The following is a 27,203-nucleotide window of genomic DNA, read 5'->3' as shown; positions in this document are numbered from 1 at the left end:
GGCAAGTCATCACTATGATTGGGAAAGAAGCCAAAATTATAATAAAATGAAAACCTGTGCATCAAATCTGAAGGATGAGTATAAAATAGGATAAACAGTCTTAAATGAAGAAATTCAAAAATAGGGTGGGTAAAGTTTGAAAAGATTATATTGGAAAGTTCAAGACTTTGGCAGGGCACTATGGCTCACCCCCATAATCTCAACACTTTGGGAGGCCAAGGCCTTTCTATTATCAACAAAATAAAAAATAAAATAAAAATTAAAAAATAAAGAATTAGCTATAACAGAAAGTATTCACTAAGAATTTCTCCTCTCATCTCCATATGAAATTCCTAACTGCGTCCTGGATTGCCCTGAACTGATCAGCTTGAAGTAAAGGTCGTAGGTGACTAAGGGATGAAAAGAAGGATAATGGGTACAATTGGGGATGATTTTGGGATGAAGAGGAGGTAAGTTTTGAGAGGGCATGTCCACTGGCCCCTAGATTATCAGTGAGGCAGTCAGTGTAATCATTATCCTTGATTGACCAGGGATGGTAAGGTGCCTTGAGGAGCACGGTGAAGGTTCGAAATAGCCATTGAGGCAATGGAGAAAGCCCCCAGCCAGAGATGAGAAACATGATGGTCAAGTAGCATGGTGGGCCTAACTGTAGCTGGAGGACTTAGAAAGAAATGTAGGTCATCACTCACAAACAAGCATCTCAGTGCAGTTCTTTCTTGATTTACAAAAATGATATAAACAGTAACCAGTCTCTCTAGATGTTGGGCAAAAGCAGGTTGGCCATATACCAGGTCTGTTAAGAGGACTTGGCCACTGGGTTCAAGAGCAACCCACCACTGATAAAGTCCCTCCTTACCCAAAAACCTTCCCAACACTTGCTGATGTTTGACCTTGAGCAAATTAGTCAGCTTTTCTGTGTCTCAGTTTCCTCATCTGTAAGAATGGCTGTTTGAGGATTAGATAAAAAGCAAGCATGTAAAGCACTTAGCCATTATTATTATTATTACTTCATAAACCAATGGTGATAACGTACCTTTCTTTTGAGTCAAGTCTCATTCTTTGGAACATCTTTTGACTTTTGTAACTCTCCATAATTACACATACCTGAAGGTTGTTCCATTGAAATGGAAATGCACATCTTTATGCTTCATATTTACATAGTAATTTCTACAGATAACATCATCCAAAGCTACTGGAATCTGTTGTCAAAAGTTGTGTCCTACCCCACATATTCATTCTAGGGCTTCCAGACACACCAGTAAAAAGTCAAAACTCTAGTTTTGATTTATCTTGTCAATGTCTCTCTTTCTGCTGGGAATAAAGTGATCACACACACACACACGCATGCACACTCACACACACCCCTTATAGAGCTAATCTAAGAGAATTCAGGTAGTGGAAGAGTCAATGAATATAAAAATCTCACCAGTGTAGTTGTGATGGTTAATTTTATGTGTCAGCTTGACTGGGTCACAGTGCCCAGATATTTGATAAAAATATTATTCTGGATATTTCTTTGAGGGTGTTTTAGGTGAGATTTACATGACAACTGGTAAACTTTGAATAAAGTGGATTGGATGAGCCACAATGCGAGTGGGCTGCATTTAATCAGGTAGAGACCTGAATAGAACAAAAGACTGGCCTCTTCTGAGAAAGAGGGAATTCTGCCATTGGATAGCCCTCAGATTTCATTGCAACACTGGCTCTTCCTAAGTCTCCAGCCTGCTAGCCCACCCTGCAGTGGGAGCTTCCAGCCTCCATAATTGCATGAGCCAATTCCTCAAAAAAAATCTCTCTTTCTCTCTCTCCCTGTGTATATATTATATATATATTATATATATATATTTCACTATCTCTCTTTCTTTCTCTCTCTCTCTCTCTCTCCCTGTGTATATATTATATATATAATATATGTCACTATCTCTCTTTCTCTCTCTATATATATAAATATATATATAAAATATACATATAGTATATATAAAATATATATAAAATATACATATAGTATATATATAAAATATATATAATATACATATAGTATATATATAAAATATATATAATATATATTTTATATATATATATATACACACACACACATAAAATATATATACACACACACTTCCTATTGGTTCTGTTTCTCCAGAAAGCCATGACTAATGCACTAGTTATTTCAGATTTTCTCATGATGGGCCACCTGAGGGCCTAAGATGATGGAAGTTTATTTAATAGAGACCTAGCAGGCAGGTAGCAATACATAGCATACCTCTGGCCCAAATTCTTTTTTGACTGCAAATTTATGAAAATGTTCTTCAGAAAAGTATTTAGAGATTTACAAAGGCATTACATCCAACTTGATGCTCTTAGAGTTTGTGAATTTTATTCTTCTATGGCAACAACATTTTGCCTATCAGATCATGGAACACTTCACCTATGGAACGATAGTTTTCGGTTCTTGTAATATCTACATTTTGCCCAAGGCTTTTTATAAACGTAGTGAAATATGCTGTCTCAGAGATAATATTCTTTTGACATCACCCATATCTGAGGGCCTTTGGATTCCATGCTACCTAGTGTTTCTTCCATATTTCAGGTAATATAACTCTCTGTATTATTGTCAGAAAGGCTCTGTCATACATATTCAGGAAGCATTTGCCTGGAAGATAAATGCAGTGAATAGTATGCTGTAGGTAGAAGTGGTTCCTATCCATTCTCCTTGTTTCATTTCAGATCATAACGACTTTCTGTCTACTCTTTAAATGAGTGTTTCTGGACTGCTGGAACATTTGAAAAATCACTAAAAACCAAACTTAAGATTCATCTAATTCTAATTTCCTATCTTCCCTTGGTTTAACAACAGACTCCTTTTTCACCACATTTGTTTAATATTTTTCACTTTCTTCTGTCCTTCCCTGTCTATTCCTTATTATTGTTCTTTGTGGCGCTTTGTTCTAAAGCCTGCTCTTACCACCTCCTCCTTCTTTTCCTCAGACCTCTTTTCTGCCAGACTACAAATAACATTCCACTGTTTTTCATTCAGCTTTTCCTCCACCAAGGCTCTTTTTCTTTGTTGTGAAAACATAACCTTGCTGAATTTATTCTCCTCCCACCAAGATCTACATTATTTATATTTCCCACCCCTAAAACAACAGTTTCCCACTATCTTCTATCTTCAGAGCCTTTTTCTTAGTTGTTGAGAAAATCAGGAAAATCAAGCTAAACTGTGATCATTTCTGGTGGTTCATTACCATTCCTTATCATTATTAATCATAGGAGATGTGAATTTCAAGTTAGGTGCTACATTTCTAGCTGTAGGATCTCCAAGTATTACCGCAATGTCTCTGCCTTCAGTTTGTTAGCATGTAAAGGGAGTTTTATGATAATAATCATATGTGCCTCAGAGGACTGGTGTTAAGATTACATAAGATTAGCATATTAAAGCATGTTATAAACTATGGAAGTGATAATATGAAGGTTAGTATCCAGTCATTCAGGTGTGTATTCACTGTGAGACTGCCTATGGATTAAAAATTAAATTAAAAACTCCGCCATAACAAGTAAATAAAGAAACTAAACAGCACAAAATTACCAAACTTAGTCTCAATTGTGCTACATTCTCTCTGTCACCTAGAAACTAATTAGTACGACATAATCACATACTTCCTGCCCAGTAAACATACAAGTCCCAGAGGTACAAATGATTTGTATCATGAATCAGTGGCCACCGCTTACTGGTAATTATCATATAAATGAGGAGCTTCAAGTTGACCTCTGATTCCCTAGTCCTTGTCTGAGACAGCAAAGATACACCAGTTATGCAAAAACTTGATAAAATTTAAATTACTTTTCTTGCCATAGCCTTCTGGATATTCTTTGTTTGGGTGGAAAAGATCACAATAACAACAGCGACCCCCCAAAATCCTATCAAAACTGATACTAAAATACTAAAATACGGTATTAATACATAGGGGTGTGTTTAGGAATAGTTCCCACAAGTAAAAAAGAAAATTCAAGAGCAATTTGTAATAAAGCCCCAAAAGCAACCGCTTGCATTAACTCTATGGATGTTCTTGTATTCGAGCCTTTCTGAGAAGTCAAACAAGTCAACTTTAAAGGAGGACACCCAGCTCTGGTCCTGATTAACCTATATGAATTTTGTCAGTCACCTTACTTATCTCACCTATAGTATCTTCCTTTGTATAATTAAGCAATTAGATTAAGTGACTTTAGGGTTCTTTCCTGCCCTAGCATTCCTTGATTCTGAATCTTGAAGCAAGCATATACACTGTAATTTACCTTAAATATTACTAATTCAGTCATTATTAACTTTAGCTGCAATTGCAATCATCTGGGAAGCTTTAGAAACTACTGACGGTGGGCTCCACCCTCGGAGTCTGAATTAATTGGTCTGGGTGCAGTTGGACATCAAGGATTTTTAAAGTTTCTCCATGTGATTCTAACATGCAGCCAAGATCCAGAAGCACTTGTTAATTATGACATACCTTTTGCCATGCGGGTACTTACTCTTTCTTTTTCTTCCTCATTCATAGAAGCTGAATTACTTCTCTGAGGATGTCTTGTCACTAAAACATGGAGAATCCAACCTACCCTGCGTAGTTGTGGAATCCCTCAGATGACAGCAGTGAAGGTACCTGGCAGGGTCCTTGCATACAGGAGGCATAGGATAAATTAGCCTTTACTTCTTTCTCCCCTCTTCCCTGGTCCCAAAGCCATCCAAGACCTGCAAGAACCTCCATTACTTATCAAGTACGGGAACATCACTGAAAGAACCTAAATAAATTTTCTAAAGTAGAATTTTCCAAACTATCTATTGTGAACTCAAAATATATGAGACAGGTCTCAGTCAATTTAGCAAGTTTATTTTGCCAAAGTGAAGGATATGCCTGTGACACAGACTCAAGAGGTCCTGATAACATGTGCCTAAAGTGGTAGGGGCATAGCTTGGTTTTATACATTTTAGGGAGACATGAGACATCAATCAATATATGTAAGATGTACAGTGGTTCCGTCTGGAAAGAGGGGACAACTCCAAGTGGAGAGGGGGCTTCCAGGTCATAGGTAGATAAAAGACAAACAATGACATTCTTTTGAGTTTCTGATTAGCCTTTCCAAAGGAAGCAGTCACATATGCATTTATCTCAATGAGCAGAGCGATGACTGAATAGAATGGAAGTTTGCCCTAAGCAGTTCTCAGCTTGACTTTTCCCTTTAGCTTAGTGATTTGGGGGTCTCAAGATTTATTATCTTTTCACACTGTCAACTCAATAAAATGAGAATGACAGCAGAGACCCTGTCACCATCATTTCTTCAATACTTAAAACAAATATTTTTGTAATGAAGAGACAAACTGGCCAATGTCTCTATAAGGCTTTGGTCTCTGTTCCTCCTCCCCCATTCCCAACAAACACACACACACACACACACACACACACCCCTCTCTGTAACTCTGCTTCTTAGTGAAGTAAAAGAAGTGGTTCTCATAAACCACATCTTTTTCTTTCCCCTAGATCAATACAGATATTTATCATATAGACAGGGTCATATAGATATCATCATATAGAAAGTCTCAATGAAACCCTCATTTGATGCATGTATAAATGGACTTATATTTCCTCATGCTTGAGTTTGGAATATAAGAGAAATACCAAGTGTCAAAAGACAACATTACAAGAAATTTAAACATCTTAATTGGCTTTTGCATTCCAGAATTGGACAAAACCTCACCTATAAAATAGAACAAATGAACATAATAAGCTGAGCAGAGGAGTTTGGTTTTAGAAACAGAAGGACTGAGGAAAGCAGAAACAAAAAACAATAAGTGGATTGGTTGTTTCAAAGTGGTTTTCCCTGTAAAGGTTAAAGTAGAGAAGACTTCCTTGTCAAGCTGACTGAATTGGGGATTTGGCTATTCTCATTCTTTCTCTCTCTCCGCGGGCCCCCCCACCCCCCACCCCCCACCCCCTACCCTTGATTTCTTGGAAGATCAGATAAATAACTTAGTTTCAGCTTCATGATATAGAACCTTAGCATGTGTAACTCGATTTTGGTTTAGTCTGTTGGGCCTAGTGCAGGAGCTCAGTCCAAACCAATGGCCTCCTATAAATTTTATATAACACAAGAAATGCTAAAATTAGGAAAAATATACCTAAGAAGCTGACTCTGCGAGTGCGCAAAGCCACCTGGCGTTTGGTTTTGTAGTCCCTACTGAAAGCCTCCAGCCAACTACAGGAGGGCTCCCAAATCAATGAAAAGATGAAGGCAAATTTTTTTTTATCACACAGAGGCTTCACCAGAGGAGCCTCTGCTTACAGTGTTTGCCAGCCCAGTCCTTGATTTCAGTGATCATTATGTGATGGACAAGCAGGGCTAGAAATAGACAAGAAGAACAATATTCTATCAGCCAATGTTCCCAGTCAATCAGAATAATTTATGTGTTTTCTCTTTCAAGAAGAGGATGGGGAATGGAGTATGGTTGAAGCCTGAAGTTATCAGTGAACAGCAAAAAAAAAAAAAAAAAAAAAAAAAGACAAGTTGCAAATGTTCTGGTCTTTCCATCCATCAGCTCCAATATAATAGCAATGTCTACTTCATCATTTTGTTCATACAGTCAAATATGCAAGGAGGATTTTAACCAGACATCTTCAACTACCCGCCTGATTACTGAACAAGTCAGGCTGTCTTTGGCATTTTGTTCCGAGTCATCACTGATGACTTGAGAACAGGAGGTTATAAAATTCTTAACAGTGGGTAAGATTGTTGAACTGTCTGGCGTGCCACTCTTATGTGCCTTTATAAATCCATTAGGCACAAAATAGTGTTTATCGTGACTAATCAATCATATCTGAAAATTACAAGAGTGAATAATCACTCCTGATTATGGAAACATCAAGGGGGCTTGTCTTAATGCCCCTTTGTGGGGGCCATTTTCTAAATCCCCCATGTTCATAACTATAGAATGAACTGGAAGAAAATATTCAGAACAAACCAGATGGCTCTAAAGACACAAAGCTCTTTTTAAAGATTGGGTAAATAGGTCAGTGTTCTTTCTAAGAAAACCAAACTGTTAGCCCTGGATACCCTGAGTCAAGAAGTGAGGTTAGAAGAAAAGAAAAGCCCCTCCCCAGAGAAACAGAAGTGATTCATTCACCTTGAGGAGGGCCATGTGCTCATTAAGCCCACCGGGGAAACATTCTATGAACTTGAGCAGCAATTTTCTAAATAAGTGGTAATTTCCTTAATGAATCTTCCCCCAAGCCCTTTGTGAGCATAATTATGTGTAATTTCAGAGGCAGAAACAAGGCCTAAGAGGCTAGAAATGACTTGTTCACAGTCACACAGCAAATTTTAGAGTCACGTTTGCTTCCTAAACCAATAGACTGCACTAGTGACTATAAAGAAGAGATTTTAAAAACTGGGACACATGCCCAAATAAGTCATCAGAGCAAATGCCATGATCCAAGTAAGCTCCTTGCTGTTTAATAGGAACCTGGCTGATCATAGTCACACTTTTTTCCACCCTTAACATACTGGCTGTTGGTTATTCACAAGCATTGAATAAGCAAGAGAAATGTCGGTTTTTAATTCCTCAGAATGAGAGGATAAATTAATCATATTCTACTTAAAAGAGAATTCGCTGAATATGTAGATTTCAAAGGAATATTAGAAAAGTTTCTCCTTTTCTTGCCCACTATATTTTTAAAATAGCATACAGGTTAAAAAGCAGTAGAAATAGTTTCTGTGGTGGTATGTGTGTATATATATATATATATATATATATATATATATATATATATATATATATATATATATATATATATTTTCTCTATGGGGTAGGGTCAGATTTTACCAACTGCCAAATCTCTTTACATAAGCTCTCCTAATCCATTAGAAGTGTATGGGAATGCTGAGAATAGGTATTAAATGATCCTTTTTATAAATATTGGAAGCAGAATTGTGCAAGAGAAAGGGGGTGGGCTTGATACTGACAAAATACTGGGTTCAAATCCCAGCTCTGCTGTTCAACCTGGAATAGATTATTTTATAATATTGCACTGCAGTTTCTGCATTTCTTCATAAAACAGGGGGAATAATGCCTACCTCACATGGGTACTGTGCCCATTAGAAACAATGTGTGTCCCACACAGTGCCTGGTTCATAGGCGTTTCCTATGTGATGAGCCCTCTCTTCCCCTCAAAATTTTAATCACTCCCAATCCTGGAATTGTCCGAATTGGTTTAGATTTTGTGGAGATGTTAGAAAACTTGGCCAACCATACTACAAAAGCATTGTGAACAAGAATGCCCAACTAAGTAAGAATCACAAAGTGGTTGTGAACAAGGAGAGTGAATAGGAGTTGTCCAGGCCAGCTGTTTTCATTGGACCTTAGACAAGTTCCTCCCAATGTCAGTTTTTTCATCCGTCAGTTTCTTCACTGGTAAAAAAAAAAAAAAAAAAAAAAACAAACCAGTAAATATAGTACTTGCTATTCACATACTTTGTCGGGGAGAATAAAATCATATGCTTAATAAGTGATGAAAGTGTAAAGTATAGTTTTTAAACATAATAAAATATCAAAAATATAGGTAATTTTCATTCCCTGGCTTTCAACATTATGCATTCCAAATTCATTTCTTTGTATGAGAATGGTATATGGCCATTATTTTACTGAACAAAGTCTATATGATGGTTGTCTTTTAGCTTTGATCTACAAAGACAATTTGTGTATGTAGATGCATATGCCCATATATACATAAATGTGTAAAGAATATGAGATAAGCGGTGTCCTTGAAACAGGAAGAATTCAAATTTATTTGGAACGTTTCTGTTTTTCAAGGGTTAACAATCACTGAAGAAGTAGAAATTTAAAAGACCCTCTGACAATCTTTAAAGTTCGTTGAAAGTCAATCAATCACAGAACATTATTAACAATAGCCTATGTTTCTTCAGCAACTATTATGTATAAGGCATTGTTTTACCTTATATGTTGGTATAAGGTAGAACTCTTATACTTTCGCTCTTTTTACTTCTTTCACCCCCATTATGACCCTCTGATATAGATACTAAAATTATTCCCATTTTATAGGTGAGAACGCTGAGGCCCAGAGAGGTAAAATAATATGTCTTGGGTCACAGAGCCAATAAGTAGCCAGAATTTGAACTCAGGCTATCTGGAGCGTTCCAGAGTCTGCACTCATAACCACTACACAAACACACTTTTATTTACATTTTCAAGTGATCAATGCTGTTAATGAATTGAGGTCAAGATTTTACCAGGCATGGAAGGAAAGGAAAATACAAAGTAAATACAAGATAAAGGTATCAATCTTAAGGATATTTCATTAAGTCCAAAAAAATTAAGCCAATTTGTAAAACAATGTACAGGCACATGTTATTATCATACCAATGCTATATAAAATAGTTAGAAGAAAAGAGGAATTACAGAAAGTAGGGCCAAGCAAACCTACTGTAAGAGGTAGTTTTTGACAAAGGCCAGAGAATGGGTTGTTAGAGAGGAAGACGGAAGTGTGTTGGGGTGAGGGGTGGGGGTAAGTATTTTCAGAAGAATTTACAATATCCTGAGGCATGAAACCAGGTCCTCTTGAGAAAAATTGCTTCCTTTTAAGAGAAAAGGAGAAGATAAACGGATGGCAGTTGGTAGAATACTATTTTTCTTGACTAACTCAAATGCAAACTGTAAAATTAACCCAGAGAAATGAATCACATCTTGGGGAGAGTATTCATCAAGAGCTGTCAACAACCAAGTCATCAACCTCCATGTGCTCTCTATTGCACCAGAAATAGAGAGCTGAAAAAAGAAAAAGATGTCCTCTTCTTACCACCTAATAAGTTTCACAATTATAGACAGATACAGGAAGAACTCTGGTCATCAATGGCGTCAGCAAGTACAAAATAATAAAATATATCTCCAAACAATTTTAAAAAGGGGAAAGTTATGCCAACAGCTTATTCCAACAAGGGATAATTCTGTCTTCAGGTGTGGCTTAATGGAACCATTGGCACTGGGACCCACTTGCCTTTGTTTCTTTGTTTAGCTCTGCAGTGTCCCTCAGGGCATCAACACCATGGCCTGTGCACTGGTTTATTTTTATAGTGGTGAATGGTGAGGGCAGGGATGGATAAGTCATCCAAACCTAGTCTAGGCTTACTTTTCCTTGCTGTCCTCAAGAATAAGCCTCTCTGGTTGGCACTGTGTCTTCATCCTCCAAGTCCCATTATGACTTGGAATACATTCCCATTAATAGCATAGACAAAAACAATCCAACCAGAAATAAACACCAACACGATTCAATACCTTCTCAAAATTTACGTGGTGACACATATATGCCTATAACCATAAAGGCAGAGAAAATTAAAATCTATACTTCATAAATGATGTTTTACATTATCTCCTCTCAGTATTATGCCCCTCCCAATTTTTTATTTTTTAAAAAACCCATAAGCTGCATTTTGTTTATATATATGAAAGTACTTTTAATATTGCCCCAAGAGTAGGGGCAATATTACAATCAAACCAACCTCAGATTTGTGCCCATTTTGATGCTTAGCTACCACAGAAATCTCATTAAGTTACATTTCAAAACCATTTCCAGTGTTTATTCTGAACTTTTTAAAACAAAAACCAAATTGCTAGTGCTTACAATCAGGAACCTGATAGGAACTCACCTCTACTGGAAACTGTACTGAGTGCAGCCTGGCCTCTCAGTAACTCAGGGTTATAGTGCTTTTAACAAAGGCTGGAATCCTTCACTAAGCAGAGGCGATGCATTTCCAGGACATAACAATGACAGCAGGGGGAGAGGACACCACAGTTCACATATAGACCCACCGCGTGATCACACACGCACTGTCACCTCTGCAGTTTCATTATCTGGATGAAGAGGAAGAGACTTCAATGGCAACATGAACAGACTGAGCTGAACTTACAAAATCATGGAGTCTTGTCACTTCCCCATAGTAACTGTAGTGACCTGCTTCATGACCTCAACAAATCACTCACTTCCACCTGCTCTTGGCCCAATTTCTCCTAACAGCAAAGAGGGCAAAATAACATAAATAAAATGCATTTTCAACTATGATTTTAAACCTTTATTGCCTCTTGAATGGTCCATATATACCATAATTCATAGGCCAGAAAGACACACCATTTTAAAGACTCCCTTTTATGTATATGTAAGAATTTTATTGAAAGAGTCATTATTCCAATCCTAGGTCTGCCACTAACTAGCTGTATAGACTCAGGTGAGTGTCTTACCCTATCTGAGGTTTGGTTCGCTCCTCTCTGAAATTTTTTTCTTTTATTTTTTTCTTGCTTCCCTGATTCCAGGGCTTTTGTGATGATCATAGGAAGTTATGTATATGAAAGTACCTTGAAAAATATAAACTGTTATGAATACGTACAAGCGGTAACAGAAGTCCAACCAAAATTCCAAAGTGCATCCTGATTTCTTTCTCGATTGTGATGTTACAAGAACTCAGCTTCTTTTTCTCGAATCACAAAATACCAATACGTGAAAAATGACCCTGCCCTTTAGAAACTATTTCAAACCTGTAACCAAGAGTGTATATTTTCTTTTGCCACCTGCAAAATGTATAATAAAAAAAATAGTTCAGCCTCTGAAGAATATACAATTGTCAAAAATCAAAATGAAAACTCAAAGGAAAATGTAAGAAATAGCAACACTTCCCATCAGCAGGTAAATAAGTCTTTGATAGATCAGAACTGGGAACAACTGTCTGGAGGAGGAACATTCTAGCAGGCATTGTTCTCAGTAAACAAGAAAGCAGATGTCACCCCACATTTTGTGAAATATGACTCCACCATACATCCTTTTGGGGGAGCAAATTGATGACTCTTCCACCCAACACAATCACCTGGGGTGTGCCAAGCACAACCTCCATCAATCACTCTGACGTGATTTGTTTCACCTTATTCAGAGGCTTCCTCCCCTTCAATCCAATGTCCAAGATGGAAAAGATGAAAAAGATGGAGTAGCCAAGGCTTCTATAATCAGTTTTTTTAATGCCAAGAGTTATAGTGTTTGGGGGTAGTGCTGCTGAATGCAGAAGTGTTTTGTCTCCTTCAAATTGGCCAAACAAATGGAGAGACTGCATTAATCCCATTGCAGTCAAGTGCCACTCGTTCTGTATTTACAACTATATGCATAATGCTGTGTCACAAAGCAATGTTTCATTTTGCATAAGATTTAAAATCGGAACCCACACTGCCTAGAACTGGATTAATGATGGAAATTCGCATCAACAATGGATGAAAGTTACTATTGCCAAAAGAAACTTAAGCACGCACCAGATTTAAATGAGCTCTTTAAGTTATTGAGAACTCATCATTTATTCAAAAACATATATTGGCCATCTCTTGAGTGCTGGGCAATGCATTATGCAAAGATGTTTCTTCCCTTAAGGAGGCCTCGGACTCAAGTAAGAATGAAAGCAAGTAATTGAAATGCACCAAGTGCCAAAATAATGATATGCACAGAATACTTCAAGATCACGAATGAGAAAGAGACTCCATCAATTAAGGAAGCTGTCAGGTTGGAGGTGATGGTCAAGCTAGAGCTTAAACTCTGAGGTTGCATCCCAGGCAGATGGGACAGCATCTGCAAAGGCATGGAAGTGTGACCCATCACAGAGTGTTTTTTATGCAAAGAACAGTTGCATGGGGAAGACAGACAATTAGGCTGGATTCTAGGTTAGGGCCAATTAAAGGACCTTGTAAGTCACATTAGGAAATTTAAACCTCATCAGGGCAAGAGATAGGCAAACTATGACAAATGGGCAAAATCCAAATCATTCATTTATGGCTCCTTAGTCCCTACAATAGCAGTGTTGCACAGTTGCTACAAAGACCATAAAGCCTACAAAGTTTAAAGTATTTATTAACTGACCCCTCACAGAAAAAGTTTGTCAACACCTGCTCTAGAAAACAACAACCAAAAAACCGTTAAAATGAGGGAATCTGTCAATGTGGAGAAATGATCTAGAAGACAAAAAGACTAGAAACTGCTTCAGTAGCCCAGACAAAAGATGTATGTTATTCTAAACCCCTGCAACTCAAAGTACGATCCTGGGAACAGTACTGCTGATATGGTTTGGCTCTGTGTCCCCCCGCCAAATCTCATCTCAAATTGTTAATTCCCATAATTTCCACATGTCAAGGACGGGACCTGGTTGGAGGTGATTGGATCATAGGGGCAGTTTCCCCCATGCTACTCTCATGATAGTGAGTGAGTTCTCATGAGGTCTGATGGTTTTATAAGGGGCTCTTCCCTGTTCACTTGCTCTGTCTCACCTGCTGCCATGTAAGACATGCTTGTTTCCCCTTCTGCCATGATTGTAAATTTCCTGAGGCCTCCCCAGCCATGTGGAACTTTGAGTCAATTAGACCTCTTTTCTTTATAAATTATCCAGTCTCAGTCTCAGGCAGTTCTTTATAGCAGTGTGAGAATGGACTAATACGAGTAACAACACCACCTGGGAGCTTGTTAGAAAGGTATATTCTTAGGGTGGGGGGAACAAAAAAATGAAGGAAGGAAGGAAGGAAGGAAGGAAGGAAGGAAGGAAGGGAGGCATGCTCGCTCTCAGGCCGCACCCTAGACTTACAAAATCATGATGTGCATTTTAACAAACTTTCCAGGTGATCCCTAGGCATGCTAAAGGCAGAGAAGCACTGGTCTAAACTGCAGACATGGTTTTGGGGATATGAAGAAAGAAGAGATATCAGAGATATTTAGCAGGTAGAATTTATGACTGGTGATTAATTGGATGCAATTGTCAGCTATAGACGGGAACAAAATTGAGGATATTTCAACATTTTCACTGGACAGTTGGGTAGATGGCAATGATGCACAAATGAAGAACAGGTATTGGGAAAAAGATACAAAGTTACATTTGGGGACATAGCTGAAAATACCAGGTCATGTAAAGTAAACTGGAAATGCTGGTTTGGGGCATTTGAAAGACAAGAGACATGGAAATGTGTTTTGGGAAATCATTAGCATATTTTGGTAGCTGAAGCCATGTTGCAGTAGCTGAAGCCATTGCATGTTATGATACATTTACTGAGCCAGAGAAAACAGTGAAAAGAAGAGGGCTGAGGACAGAGCCTCGGAAACAAACATTGAAGACACCAACAGAGCAAGGGAAGTTCAAGAAGGAGGCTACGAAGAAATGGCTACTGACCAAGGGGTTAATTAAGAGAAATGGTAGTTGCTGTATTCCAAAGCGAACAGACTGTATCTGGATTCTAATGCCCTATTCTAGAGAGCAAACAAAATTATATTCTAAAGCACAATACAACCATGTCACTTCCTTCCTGAAGAATCTTCAGCCGTTCCATGTTATCTACAAAGTAGTGCTAAGAGCCCTTTAACTGGATCCCTAATTTATCTGACTACAGCCTCTCTGATAGCCTCTACTTCAACCATCTCGAGGTAGTCACGTGGCACAATTTGCATTCTTCTTTGTTCCTCCCACTTATCTCCCACTTTTTTCCTGCCAAAGTCCTAACCTTTGTGTAGAGCCCTGCTCACATACTACCTCCTCCAGGAAGTCTTCCTAGATTTCTCATCCCTGATTATAATTAATCTCTCATTCTCTTTCAATCTCACATAACTCATGTACTTTATAATAGCTCTTACTTCAATCTGATTTGTTCTAGATAAGTTCTGGGAATGCTTGTCTACATAATAGATTGATCACGTACCCCTAGGGGGCAGGGACCACATCTTATTTGACTTTATTCACTCTCTGCAAAAGACCATATCTAGTAACTAAGAGATGGTTATGATGAACAAAAGGGAAGTACCCCAGTTCAATAGGATACATTGTTCCCAAAATTATCACCCTCATTTAAAGAGAACCCCATGATATATTAATTCAGTTGTGTTGATTCTTCCTCAGGGTAGTTACATTATTTGATTTTATTTCTAGGAAAGCATGAAGAAGAAGGAATAGCAGATATTACCCCACCCATCCTCTATCATGCTAGGTGCCATGATGAAGAATTATCCCTTAGGGAGCCTGACCTTAGAGCAGTCGGCTGTGTCACAGTCCTCTCTAGGAATGTGAGACACCACCACTTCTCTTTCTCCCCACCCTCTCACCCACCTCTTTGTTCATTCCCAGCTCAGATAACCTCAACTGTCAGAAATCTTCTTGTCAAAGATCTTCACACTTATATATTTTTTCACTTTGTCAGTACAAATGTTTGTTCATCAAAACCAGTGGATGAGTTGTTATAATTTTTCATGTCTTGAGTTTTCTCTTCCTTGGGGCAAAAAAGCAGGGGGAAGGGGAGGGTCAGACTCTTAAAAATGGACTATACCCAGTGTTTTCACTTTAGGACATGTGCTTTATGTGCTACGTGAAAAATCTATGCAATAAAACGAGAAGGGAAAAAATACCCACTAGTGACAAGAAAACTTAGACACAAAATTTACCCCCCAAAGCCAGTAATCTAGTGGTGGGCATTACAACTGAAGAACTGCATAGGAACATGGAAATTATAAAGGGGAAAAATACAGAAATTGAGACTGAAATTGCAAAGGCTGAAAGATCTGCAAAATATGTCCTTCTCAATATAACACTCCCAGCAGAGAGAGAATTAAACCTCAAATGTGAGAAAGCACTCTCAAACCATTTATTTTTATTCACCTAATAACCTACATTCTGTGATGTATTGGTGTCACAATTCAGTTGAAGGAGATATTAAATGGTAATAGAACTGCATTCATTATCACAGACACAAGATCACCAGGCCAGTAAGACTGGTCTATGACCCAAATGGTTTAAACTTTCAATATTTTTATTTATAGGAGACTGGATTGCCTATAAACTAATCTCCAAATCAATTACACAAACATATGCATATGCACATACTCATTTGAAAGAAGAGAAGAAGCTGAAAAAATTATATTATTTATTTACTGGGCCCAAATAAACAACATTATTTAAAATTATGACCAGTTTCTAGGTAAAATCAAATGTTAATAACATAGTAGGTGATACCAATTCTTAAATTAATCCATAAGGGTCCTCTTAACCAAATTAACCTATTACTAAAGCTAAGAATTTGTCGAATTAGAATGTACTGATTTTTTTGTTTGTTTTTAAAAATCATGCATGGAAGAAAATAATAAGACACTTCAATTTCCATAGTCTTAAATTTCCACTCTACTTATACCATTTCTGGAGTCAGTCTTCCTTGGCTGGAGCTCTGGCTCTGGCTGTCCCATGGTAATTATGTGACTTTGGGCAAGTTGCCTAACCTCTCTGTGTCTCTTTTCTCTTATATAGAATAAGGATGAAGATAGCACATTCTCATTGTCATTAAGATTAAAATAATCAAGATGTATGAACTGAGCACAGTAAGATCAGAGACATAATATGGACTCAGCAATGCTGGCTGATTTTGCGGGGTAGGTTGGGGCCAGGATAAGAGGATCAGTTAACACTTTCCTGTTGTGGTTTCTGTACTAGCCTAATTAAGGTCTGAAAAGACTGCTGACCCTTGTTTTCCCAGTGTTCTTTTCCTCTGCTAACAATAGCCCATAGCATATTTTAACTATAATTTATGCACCAAAGTGTTTACATGTAATTTTCAAGATAAGAAAATAATTTCATCACTATTCTCAAAATTTCAACAATTTCTACATTATTGAGGTATCAAAACTATCCGAAGCATAGACATAATAAAAGATTCAGGAAAGGTTCCTAACCTTTGAGGTTGACTTCAAGGAAAACAACAATGCCCTTTCGTCAACAGGTCCCTGGGCAGTTCTCAGTGGATGGTCATGAGTACATGCCAGGAAGTGGCTCGGCAGGTCTGATTGCACCTTTCTTGTATGCCATCATTGCAGCTATTTTTATCATATGAAGTCTATTTTGTATATTATATCTAAAGTATGTGCTGAGTGTATTAAAAAGTAGATAGAGATATACATTTTTCAATACCTTAAGTTTCGGCATTATCCATCAACAAAGAGAAAAACAAATCCAAAAATAAAACCTAACTACCCTTCTTGTAATTACACTAAGCATAGTATAAATTTCCATGAGGTTCACAAGACAATAATACTAAACATAAAATAGTTGCTGAAGGGTGATAAGAACTTTTCTTAAGCTTTTCTTTGTTACACTGTTTGTACATACAAAGGTAATATAGAAACGTAAAATTGGAAAGGGAAAAGGAAATCAAAAGAGAGAAAACTTCATGATTAACTCCCAGTGATCTTCATTCTTCTCTCTTCCAATGAGATAACCAAATCAAACACTGGCCAAGTTGTCTTCTGCATGCTCATTAAAAATATGCAATAGTATACACACATACATACAGAAATGTTTGCTGTTTGTTTTATAAAAATGAGCTTCAAATATACATGTTACTGTGAAACTGATTTTTCTCACCCAGTAAAACATCATAGATATCCTTCACAGTCATTAGATATAGATGAAACTCACTTTAATAAACGCATAATAATCTATATTATACAAGCCCCACAAACCATTCCCCTATTTATTAAAGTTGAGGTTTGTTCCCCATATATATGTATAGGGGTGTGTGTGTGTGTGTGTGTGTGTGTGTGTGTGTGTGTTGGAATATACATATATATATTTTAGAGACTGGGTCTTTCTCCATCACTTATGCTGGAGTACAATGGCACAATCACGGCTCAGTACAGCCTCAACCTCCTGGACTCAAGCAATTCTCCCACCTCAGCCTCCCAGGTAGCTGGGACTACAGTCACGTGCTACCACACTCGGCTAATTTTTTAAAGTTTTTGTAGAGATGGGGCCTTGCTATGCTGCCCAGGCTGGTCTCGAACTCCTGGGCTCGAGCAATCCTCCTGCCTGGGTCTCCCAAAGGGGCTGAGATTGTAGGCACGAGCTACTGCCCAGCCATTCAGTATTTTTTAAAACACAACAAAAAAGCTCTATCTTTTTATATTGATGTTTTCAAATGGGAGACCACTGAGTCAAAGGAAAGTTACATGGTTAATAAAGATTGCCAGATTACTTCCACCAATGAGGATGTTTGCTTCCTCCCATCTTAGCCAGGACTGGATGCTGTCACTTCCTTTCATTTTTGTTACTCTAAGGGAAAAAGGCATCTCATTGTTATTTAAACTTCTTTTTCCCAGTGTGAAGTTTTAGTGTTGAGTCACCATTATCATTGAACAACACTTTATCATATTTCTCTAAATTAGGGTTTCCTGACTCCTGTATTATTAATATTTGAGGGTAGATTACTCTTTCTTGTTGAGGGTGGCCTTGTAGGTTGTAAGATGTTTAGTAGTATCCTGTGCCTACGAGATGTCAGTAGCACCTGCCCCCATATTTGTGACAACCAAAACATCTTCAGCCATTGCTAAACTCACCCCCATTTGCAAACCTCTACTCTAAAATGCTTAATTTAGAAAGATTTTGATTTTTAATTTCTCATTAAATTTGATTAACAAGCTCCCAGAAATCATCCCCAAGATATTTTTTCAAGGTTGATAGATTTCAAAACTTGATCAATAATCTAAAAATATGAGTGAGTATATGTAGCATCAATACAACATAATAAACACTGCCTTAGGCACACAATTAATTTCACCCCAGGAAAACTGAGAGCAGAGCCTACTGACAAACAGAAGGGAAATTATTCAAAACCTGGGCATAATACCTACTTTAATTTCAAAGTCAATAGGCAGTTTTTAAATTTCATCCCAACTCCCTGTGTATGACTTGTGAACAGGTAGAGATAAAAAGAGTTGTTAAATATTTAAATATCTATTCACTGTGCCAAAATCTCAAATGAGGCTATTTCTTTGATTATTTCTTTTGATTACTGCAGTATTTTGATTTACTTTGAGTTTCCTAATCCAAAATAGACCAGTGCTTTTCCTAGAACTTTCTATAATCGGTGAAAGACTTTCTCTTTTGTTAGGAAGTAGGACTCTAAAGTATTTTTACCATTTTAATTCTCTTAGACCAAAACCACACAAATTATTTTTCTCAGGGAAAAAAAGGTACATTCTAATTGTTTTTAAAACAGAGCAGTTTTTCTCAGCCTCAGAAGAGAAAAATACCGAGAAGAGCAAAAGCAATAGAAAAGTTTAATTGAAATTCAATACCAAAAGCAAGAACTAATATAACAATTAGTTATCTTCACCTATTCTTACAGACAGATTGAATGCTGCCTTATTTATAATAGTGATAACATAAGACACATAGAGACACACAGAGAAGTTCTTTGCAAAGAAACTGACCTTTATCAATTTATTCCAGGAGTAATTTTCTGGCTTTAATTAGAAGTCAATATTTCTTTCTGATGAATTCATAAATAATAATTAAAAGGCTACTAGCCATTCCCAGCTGGCTTCGAGGTTTCAATTCTCTGTAATGGCAAAGGGGATGTTTTAAAAAGGCAAAATGCCAGTCATGGGATCTATCTGACTTTTGATAAAATACTGACAACAGCATTACAGGGAATCAATCAACAATGCAAAGAGCTGACCAAAAGACAAACATGGAAACCTGCCCTCCTTTGCAAGACATGGGCTTTTGTGATAAAATCGCATGGCTTGACAAAATCTCCCTGCATTGTTACAGCACAGGCTTCCAGCATTTGCCACCCTTATCGAAGTCTATTTTTGAATTTTAGATATTTTGAGCTTAAAACTATTCACAAAGTTTATATTGAAAGAGAAAATTGAAGTTTCTTGCCTATGGTTAGGACCACTGTCTATCCTCTTCCCCCAAAGAAATTTGTTTAATCCCTAAAAATATTAACTGAACAGTTTTTGTCATATGAGTTGATGAGTCAATTAATAACTTACAGTTTCATCTAGTTTCAGCTCATTACCAGTTATTTCAGGTAGCTGTGTTTAATTATTTGAGTCCAAAAATAAGTTGAGAAATAAATCTCCCAACTAATGCTAATTGGTTTCCCATTATATGCATTTAAAAAATCTGTATAAATCACTAGATTAAATAACAAGCAATTGGTGGTGTTCTTCCAATTACAGCACCTCCAGCAAAAACTCCATTATACAGAAGCAAGCTGAATTATGGTTAATTTATTAATAAATTTGGTACAGCATATAATGAGTTTGTAGATACTGAAGCCACTTACATTCATTTAAGTAATCAAGAAGAGTTCAGAGACTTTAAAAAAATGAAGCTAACTTTTAGCTAAAAGAACTCAAGATAAAAAATGTGGAGAAGGAAGTAATCAGAGCAGCCGTGGCTGGGTAGCCCAAAGAAGTACTCCAGACAATCACACAGCTTTGGAAAAGAGCCTCTGCCACCACTGCTACCTCCTGTCATGTACATTTAGGAGTGCTTGTTTCTGCCCAACACAATTAGAGATCGGATGCAATCATTCTAAAATGCTGGACTGAAATGAGGAGGTTAGGAAGGCTCCTGGAGATTGAGATATTTTCTTGAGTAGAGAGAATTGACATTTTGTGGCTAACTCTGGTTCTATAATCCAGCCCTAGGGAAAATATAAAGTGTCTGTTCCCATGATAAAATAGAGTATTAAACAGGATCATATTATTTGTTTCTAAGAAAAGTTATTGTTATTGGCTTATCCATTGTGGTCTATTTCTGAACATTTAAATGGCTCCATAATGTATTTTTTTCATAAAGAGAAATAGCGATATGTCAAAAAATTATATGTAAGTGTACTTCAAGTAAAGTCATGGAGAGAGATGAACATTTAAGCTATTTTTTGTCAGTTCCAGATTTAGATATTAATCAGGGCATGAAGTCTGACTTTAATCTCAACCATGTCATTCTGAGTCTCATCCCCCTATATATTGTCCTTTGTAGGACGTATGCAATGGTAAGAAATTATTTGTGCAATTATTTTTCAATGCCAGTATACCTCCAAGAACACATAAGACCCTTGAGGTCACAGACTGTCTCTGTCTTATTAATGGCTTTATTGCTATTTAAGCTCAGAGGTCAGGGAATATATCAGCCTCTGTTTACCAATGAATATACTTCCTAGCACCATAAGTTTATGGTATATGTGTGTGTACACCCAGTAACAATAACTTGAAAGTTATTAATAATTGCAATAGCTTAAACAGTTATAATTATTCACGGCCATCTTGTTTTATCTCAATACTTAACCACTTTCTCCTCTGTCCCCAGATAATTTTTAAACAAATCCCAGAAAGCATTTTATAGCTTCTGTAAATATTTCGGCATGTAATACTAAAATAGAAGAACTATTTTTAAAAAATAACATTATCTCACCTAAAAAAAAACAAGTCTCTGATAGCAATAAATATCCATTCAATGTTCCTTGATTGCCTCATTCAATTTTTTACTATTTATTTATTTGATAAATAGTTTTGAACACATAGGTTTACTGAAGAGCAATAAAATATCTAAAACATTGGATAGGTTCTCAGCAATACTTTAAGAGAATTAACATATGACTCATTTACAATTTAAAGTACCATTAAAAAGTGGACTGCAATCAGATTCCATTTGTCATTTTTATTAAAGAATACTAAAGCAAATATAAGGATGAAAATAGGAGATATTGGGGTGGCACAATTTGTTCATGAAAATGGGCTTTAGACTCTGATGTGAACACTTTTTCTGGTCTCTGTGGGATTTTTGACTCCTTACTACAGTCCATTCAGCTAAAATGCTCCTAAGATGTCCACTTTCATTCATGATAGAGTAGCTGGTACCAGCTAGCCCTCTTACCATAAACAACTTTAATACTAGAATATGAATATATATGCACATTCATATTTAATACTAGACTATGAATATATATACACATACATATATAAATATATATATACTAGAATATATATATTACATTTATATTCTAGTAGTATTGTGTGTGTGTGGGTATGTCTGTGTCTGTGTGGGTGTGCGCGCGCACACGGATGGATGGAGAGAGACACAGAGAGAGAGAGAAACGGCTTTCAGGCATTGAGCATCAGGTATGTAATCCTGGAGCAAAAGAAAACAAAGAGGAGCCCCACCAGCACCAGCATACCTTCCTGGGGGCACTTCCCACTCTGTAATGCAGAGTGAGGGAGCTCAAATAACAGCACAGTGGTGTTGCTCAGCTACGGAAACAGATCTCTAAGTTCAGAGCTGCTGAGGCAGCTGTATTTACCAGGCAACGTAATGGAGAGACTTAGACCAGTGCTGTGAAGAAGTTCTATGAATTCGCATCGGGAGCCCCGTGAGTCTTTGGTTGAATACAAAGCTGTGCATCTGCACAGGAAGACTCCAGGGAGCTGGGCAAAGGGTAACTACTAAGGAAAGAGCAAGTGCCCTGTAGCCCTGATATGGTTTGGGTCTGTATCTCTGCTCAAATCTCATATTGAATTGTAATCCCCAGTGTTGGAGGTAGGGCCTGGTGGGAGGTGATTGGATCCTGGGGGTGGATTTCCCCATTGGTGCTGTTCTTGTGATCGTGAGTGAGTTCTCCAAAGATCTGGTTGTTTAAAAGTGTGTGGCACCTCCCCCTCTCCCCCTTCCTCCTGCTCCAGTCATGTGAGGTGCTCACTTCTTCACCTTTCACCGTAATTGTAAGTTTCCTGAGGCCTCCCCAGAAGCTGAGCAGATGCCAGCATTGTGCTTCCTATACAGCCTGCAAAACTGTGAACCAATTAAACCTTTTTTCTTTATACATTACCCAGTCTAAGTATTTATTTATAGCAGTGAAAGAATAGACTAATACAGCCCCACACCAATTAAATAAGCCAAATTTGTAATTAAAAATATTTTCTCAAAGTAAAATCTAAGCCCAGATGAATTCGCTGGGTGAATTCTATGAAACGTTTAAGGAAAAAGAAATGCCATTTGAGGGACCCCATCCTAACTCAGTTTGAGGCCAACATTTCCTGAACCCCAAATCAAAGACATTATAAGAAAAGGACACTACAAACCAACTTCCCTCTTGAATACAAAAGGAAAAATCATAAATAAAATATTAGCAATTTTAATACAGTAATAAATTAAATATTAACATAAAATTAATTACAATTAAGTAATTAAAAGCTTAACATGCAAGGGCCAAAGGGAAATTTTCACTCGAAAAGATTAGTTTAGATTAGAAAATGAATCCATATAATTTACGACATTGACAGAATTAAAAAAATCATACAATCACCTAACAATCACCTAAAGAAATACAGAGAAACATTGAATAAAATTTGGCACCTATTCATGTTAAAAACTATCAATACATTAGGAATAGAAAAAACCTCTGACAACCGAATAAAGATGATATACGGAAAATCTACAACTAAGAAGATCATATTGAACAATGAGACACTGAATGATTTTAACCTATTATCAAGAACAAAGTAAAGTTCAGAACTTTTATTCAATATTGTACTGGCAATATAACCTCCCCTTCCAAAAAAGTCATCTAGACTGAAAAGTAAATATATATATTTGCAGTTTGCAGTTAGCATGACTATGTAGCAAATTCCAAGGAATCTTAAAAAAAAATTAGAATTAATAAGTGAATTTAGCAAGGTTTCAGGATATAAGGCCATATAATATATATTAGTAACTAGCAATTAAAAACAAATGTTTAAGTACCAATTACAATAGCATCAACACAACATGAAACACTTAAAAAATTTAACAAAATCAGTGCAAGACACTACAAAATATTGCTGAGAAAAATTAAAGAAGACCAAGATAAAAGACCGATTTACGATATTCATGATTAGAAGACTCAATATTGTTAAATGACACATGTTTAAATTCAACACAACTCCAATTAAAATCCCAGCAGGCTTTTCTGCAGATATTGACAGCTGATTCTAAAATTTATATGGAAATGCAAAGGACCTAGCATAGTCAAAACAGTCCTTTAGAATAGCAAAGTCGAAAGCCTTACACTCGTGGATTTTAAGACTAACTCTAAAGGTATGATAATCTAGACAATGGGATTTGAGGGTACAGATGGTTGAATAGATCAACAGAACAGAATATAGAATCCAGAAGTAGATCAACATTACATGTTCAACTGATTTTCAATCAAGGCAATAAAACAATTCAATGGAAAAAAACAGTCTTTTCAACAAATGGTGCTGGAAAAACTGCCTGTCGATATAGAAAAAAAATAATCCTGACTCATACCTTAAACCATCTACAAATATACACTTGAGTGAATATCAAAGCTAAAGATGTAAAGCTTCCAAAAGGGATAGGTGAATATCTTTGTGACATTGAAATAGGCAAAGATTTCTAAAACAGACACAAAAAAGTCTAATCATAAACTTAAAAAAATTAAAAAATATGTAATGGACATTATCAAAATTAATGACCTCTACTCATCAAGGGATACATTATGAAAACTAATAAGCAAATCACAAGTCAGCATTACCATGACACCGAAACTAGACAAAGACAAGTAAAAAAATACTGCAGACCAACTTCTCATGACCACAGAAGCAAAAATCATTCATAAATTCTAGCAAAAATAAATAACCTAATAAAAATGGGCAAAAGTCTTAAACAGTAACCTTGTAAAATAAAATATATGAATGAGCAATGACCCCATGAAAAAGTACTCAACATCATTAGCCATCAGGAAAATACAAAATAAAATCACAATGAAATACCAGTACACATTCACTAATGTAACTACATTGAAATTATTGAACACCCCAAATATTGGAGTTTGTGGAACAAGCGAAGCTCTCATGCATTGCTGGTGGAAGTGTAAACAACCACTTTGGAAATTGTCCTGGCAGTTTCTTACAGAGTTTAATATCTACCTACCCTATCACCCAGCAATTCCACTCCTAGGTCTTTACTCAAGAAAAATAAAAAATATATGTACGCACAAAGGACTGTACAAAAATGCCCATGGACGCGTTATTCAACATAGCCTCAAACTGAAATAACCCAAAATCCAGCAACATAAGAATGGACAAGCAAGTGAGATTATATTCAAACCACAGACTACTACTCCAGAATAAAAAGGAACAAAAGACCAATACAGTCGGGGCACTGTGGCAGACGCCTGTAACCCCAGCACTTTGGGAGTCCAAGGCAGGAGGATCGCTTGAGCCCAGGAGTTTGAAGCCAGCCTGGGCAACATAGGGAGACCCCAATCTCTATTTTTATTTTAATTATTAAAAAACACCAATATGGGTACTACAAAATTGATGAACCTCAGAAACATTATTCTGAGTGAAAAAAAGCAGAAAGACACAAAGGGTATATAGGTGGTATAATTTTATTCATATGATTTTTTAGACCAGGGAAGCCTAATCTATTGATGAAATAAATCAGAACAATAGTTGCCTTTGGGTGGGGAGGCGCATTGACTGGAAAGGGATCTAAGGGATCTTTCTGGAGTGGTGGAAATGTTTATCGTAATATGGGTGTGGGTTACAGAGGTGTATGCATTTGTCAGAAGTTATCTAACTGTAGTCATAAGATCTGAGAATTTTACTGTCTGTAAATTACAACTCAATTTTTAAAAGTGCTCCTGAGTTTCTGTCCACTGGAAAGAATTAGTCCGAAATATTTTACCACTTACTAGATGCTACTAAAATACTGGTATTGGTGATTAGGCTTAAAATTCTCTGGCCTCCTTTGTCTACTTAGGACACTCTTATTCATCTTCAAAGTCTAAAATCAGGGCTCACTTCCCTTAGCAAGCAGGCCTCCATTGTCTGTCAGATTTGGACATACCCCATCTCCACGCCTAAGGCAAAGATTTATCTTATTTAATACTTGAAACCTCAGTGTTGTCATATACATGATATATATGGCATTAGGTAGACATCTCATAAATGTTTATTTCACATGTGAATACAGTATTTTTGTTTTCACATCACATCTACCAAGAGAATCTGCCATTTTTTTGCACTTACAAGATGCCAGTTGCGTTGAGGTTCATTGATGTGACATTCTGCTTATGTTCTATTAACTGACCTGTCTTTATATGCATATGCCTAATACTTAGGAGTCACCCATGATTCCTCACTATTCTTTCACCCTTTCACCTTTCTCAGCCAATCCATTAGCAAGTCCTGGCAGTTTTACCCCCAAACTATGTCCCAATCCTTCTATAACTTTCATTCTCCAGATCTTGGTCCAAGCCACCAACTTCTCCTGCCAGAAGTACTGCAACAAACTCCTAACTGAACTCCTTGCAACACATATATTCACCCCACTTCAATTCAATAATGAAAGCCAAATAATATTTCTTATTCTTCTCCAGACTCTTCAGTGGTTTCCCACGGACCTAGAATAAAATCCAAATTCCTTTGCGATGCCTTCAGAGCACCACATTATCTGTCCCCAGCCTGCTCTCTCACCTGTCACAAGACATCCCCATCCCCTGGGCCACCTGCCTTAAGCTCCAGCCATCCTCCTATTCTGCTCCTTGTGCCTGACACAACTATTTTTTTTTCTCCAGGCCTTTGTCTTTGAGATTGCTCTCTCTTGAGCAGTCTTACCCCTTGCTCTTTCTTCCACTCATCCTTCACGTTTCAACTCCAATTTCATCTCCCAAGTTACCTTAGAGATTCTTGATTATTCAGTCCTCTTTTCTATCCTCCACTGGAACATAGACTCAATCAGTCAGGGAACTTGACTGTCCTGTTCACTTTGACATCCCCAGGACATAGCACCAAACCAGGCACATAGTAGGCACTCAATAAATACCTGCTAAATGAACAGACAGGCAACCTAAAAACAACAAGTGTTAGTGTCCAGGTTTCCCAGGCATTTAAAATTTTCACAGCTGGATTTTTAGCTTGTATCTTTCTGGTTCCATCATTCCTGATTTCCTTCATATTTTTAACTTTTCTAAGTGTTTCTCTGCTATAACAGTACTCTCGCTGGTGTTTTCAACACCTCTTAATTTAGTATCACCTGCAGATTTCATTAATTTATTGTTTACTGCCTTTTGCAGATTATTAATGAAGATGTTAAATAAGAAGAAAGCAACATCCTTCCCCATGTACTGCAGTTGAATTACTAATCACTTCACGAATGCTGAAGAAAGCATTTTAAAAAAGTTTTTTCTGCAATATATACAACCTACACTGAAAAATCTTAAGCTATATGTACTTCATTCAATTCATTCATGCATACGAATATTCAAAACCTTCATTTAAGCTCAAAGGCCATGGAGATAAAAAAGA

The 27,203-nt window shown here is 36.9% G+C and overlaps 1 long non-coding RNA gene across 4 annotated transcripts, besides 1 other annotated feature; it reads left to right on the top strand.

Moving 5' to 3' along the window:
* On the top strand, window positions 1–27,203 carry LOC101928912 (uncharacterized). 4 transcript variants are annotated; one of them, XR_945252.3, is made up of 4 exons: window positions 1–125; window positions 4,548–4,645; window positions 16,351–16,472; window positions 26,972–27,203. It is a non-coding gene; the product is annotated as an uncharacterized LOC101928912 (long non-coding RNA). The 4 variants fall into 4 exon arrangements; XR_945251.3 differs by lacking the exon at window positions 16,351–16,472 and adding an exon at window positions 13,691–13,790; XR_246024.4 differs by lacking the exon at window positions 16,351–16,472.
* Window positions 21,824–22,325: an enhancer, noted in NCBI's record as "NANOG hESC enhancer chr12:97628866-97629367 (GRCh37/hg19 assembly coordinates)". NCBI's record gives its function as "activates a minimal SCP1, AML or CMV promoter by ChIP-STARR-seq in naive H9 embryonic stem cells {active_cell/tissue: H9 hESC(naive)}" and the evidence as "EXISTENCE:reporter gene assay evidence [ECO:0000049][PMID:30033119]".

This window comes from Homo sapiens, chromosome 12, assembly GCF_000001405.40.
Source record: "Homo sapiens chromosome 12, GRCh38.p14 Primary Assembly".
Taxonomy (NCBI): Eukaryota; Metazoa; Chordata; class Mammalia; order Primates; family Hominidae; genus Homo; species Homo sapiens.
Note: the sequence above shows the minus strand (reverse complement) of the source record. Positions and strands in the feature narration are given on the sequence as shown.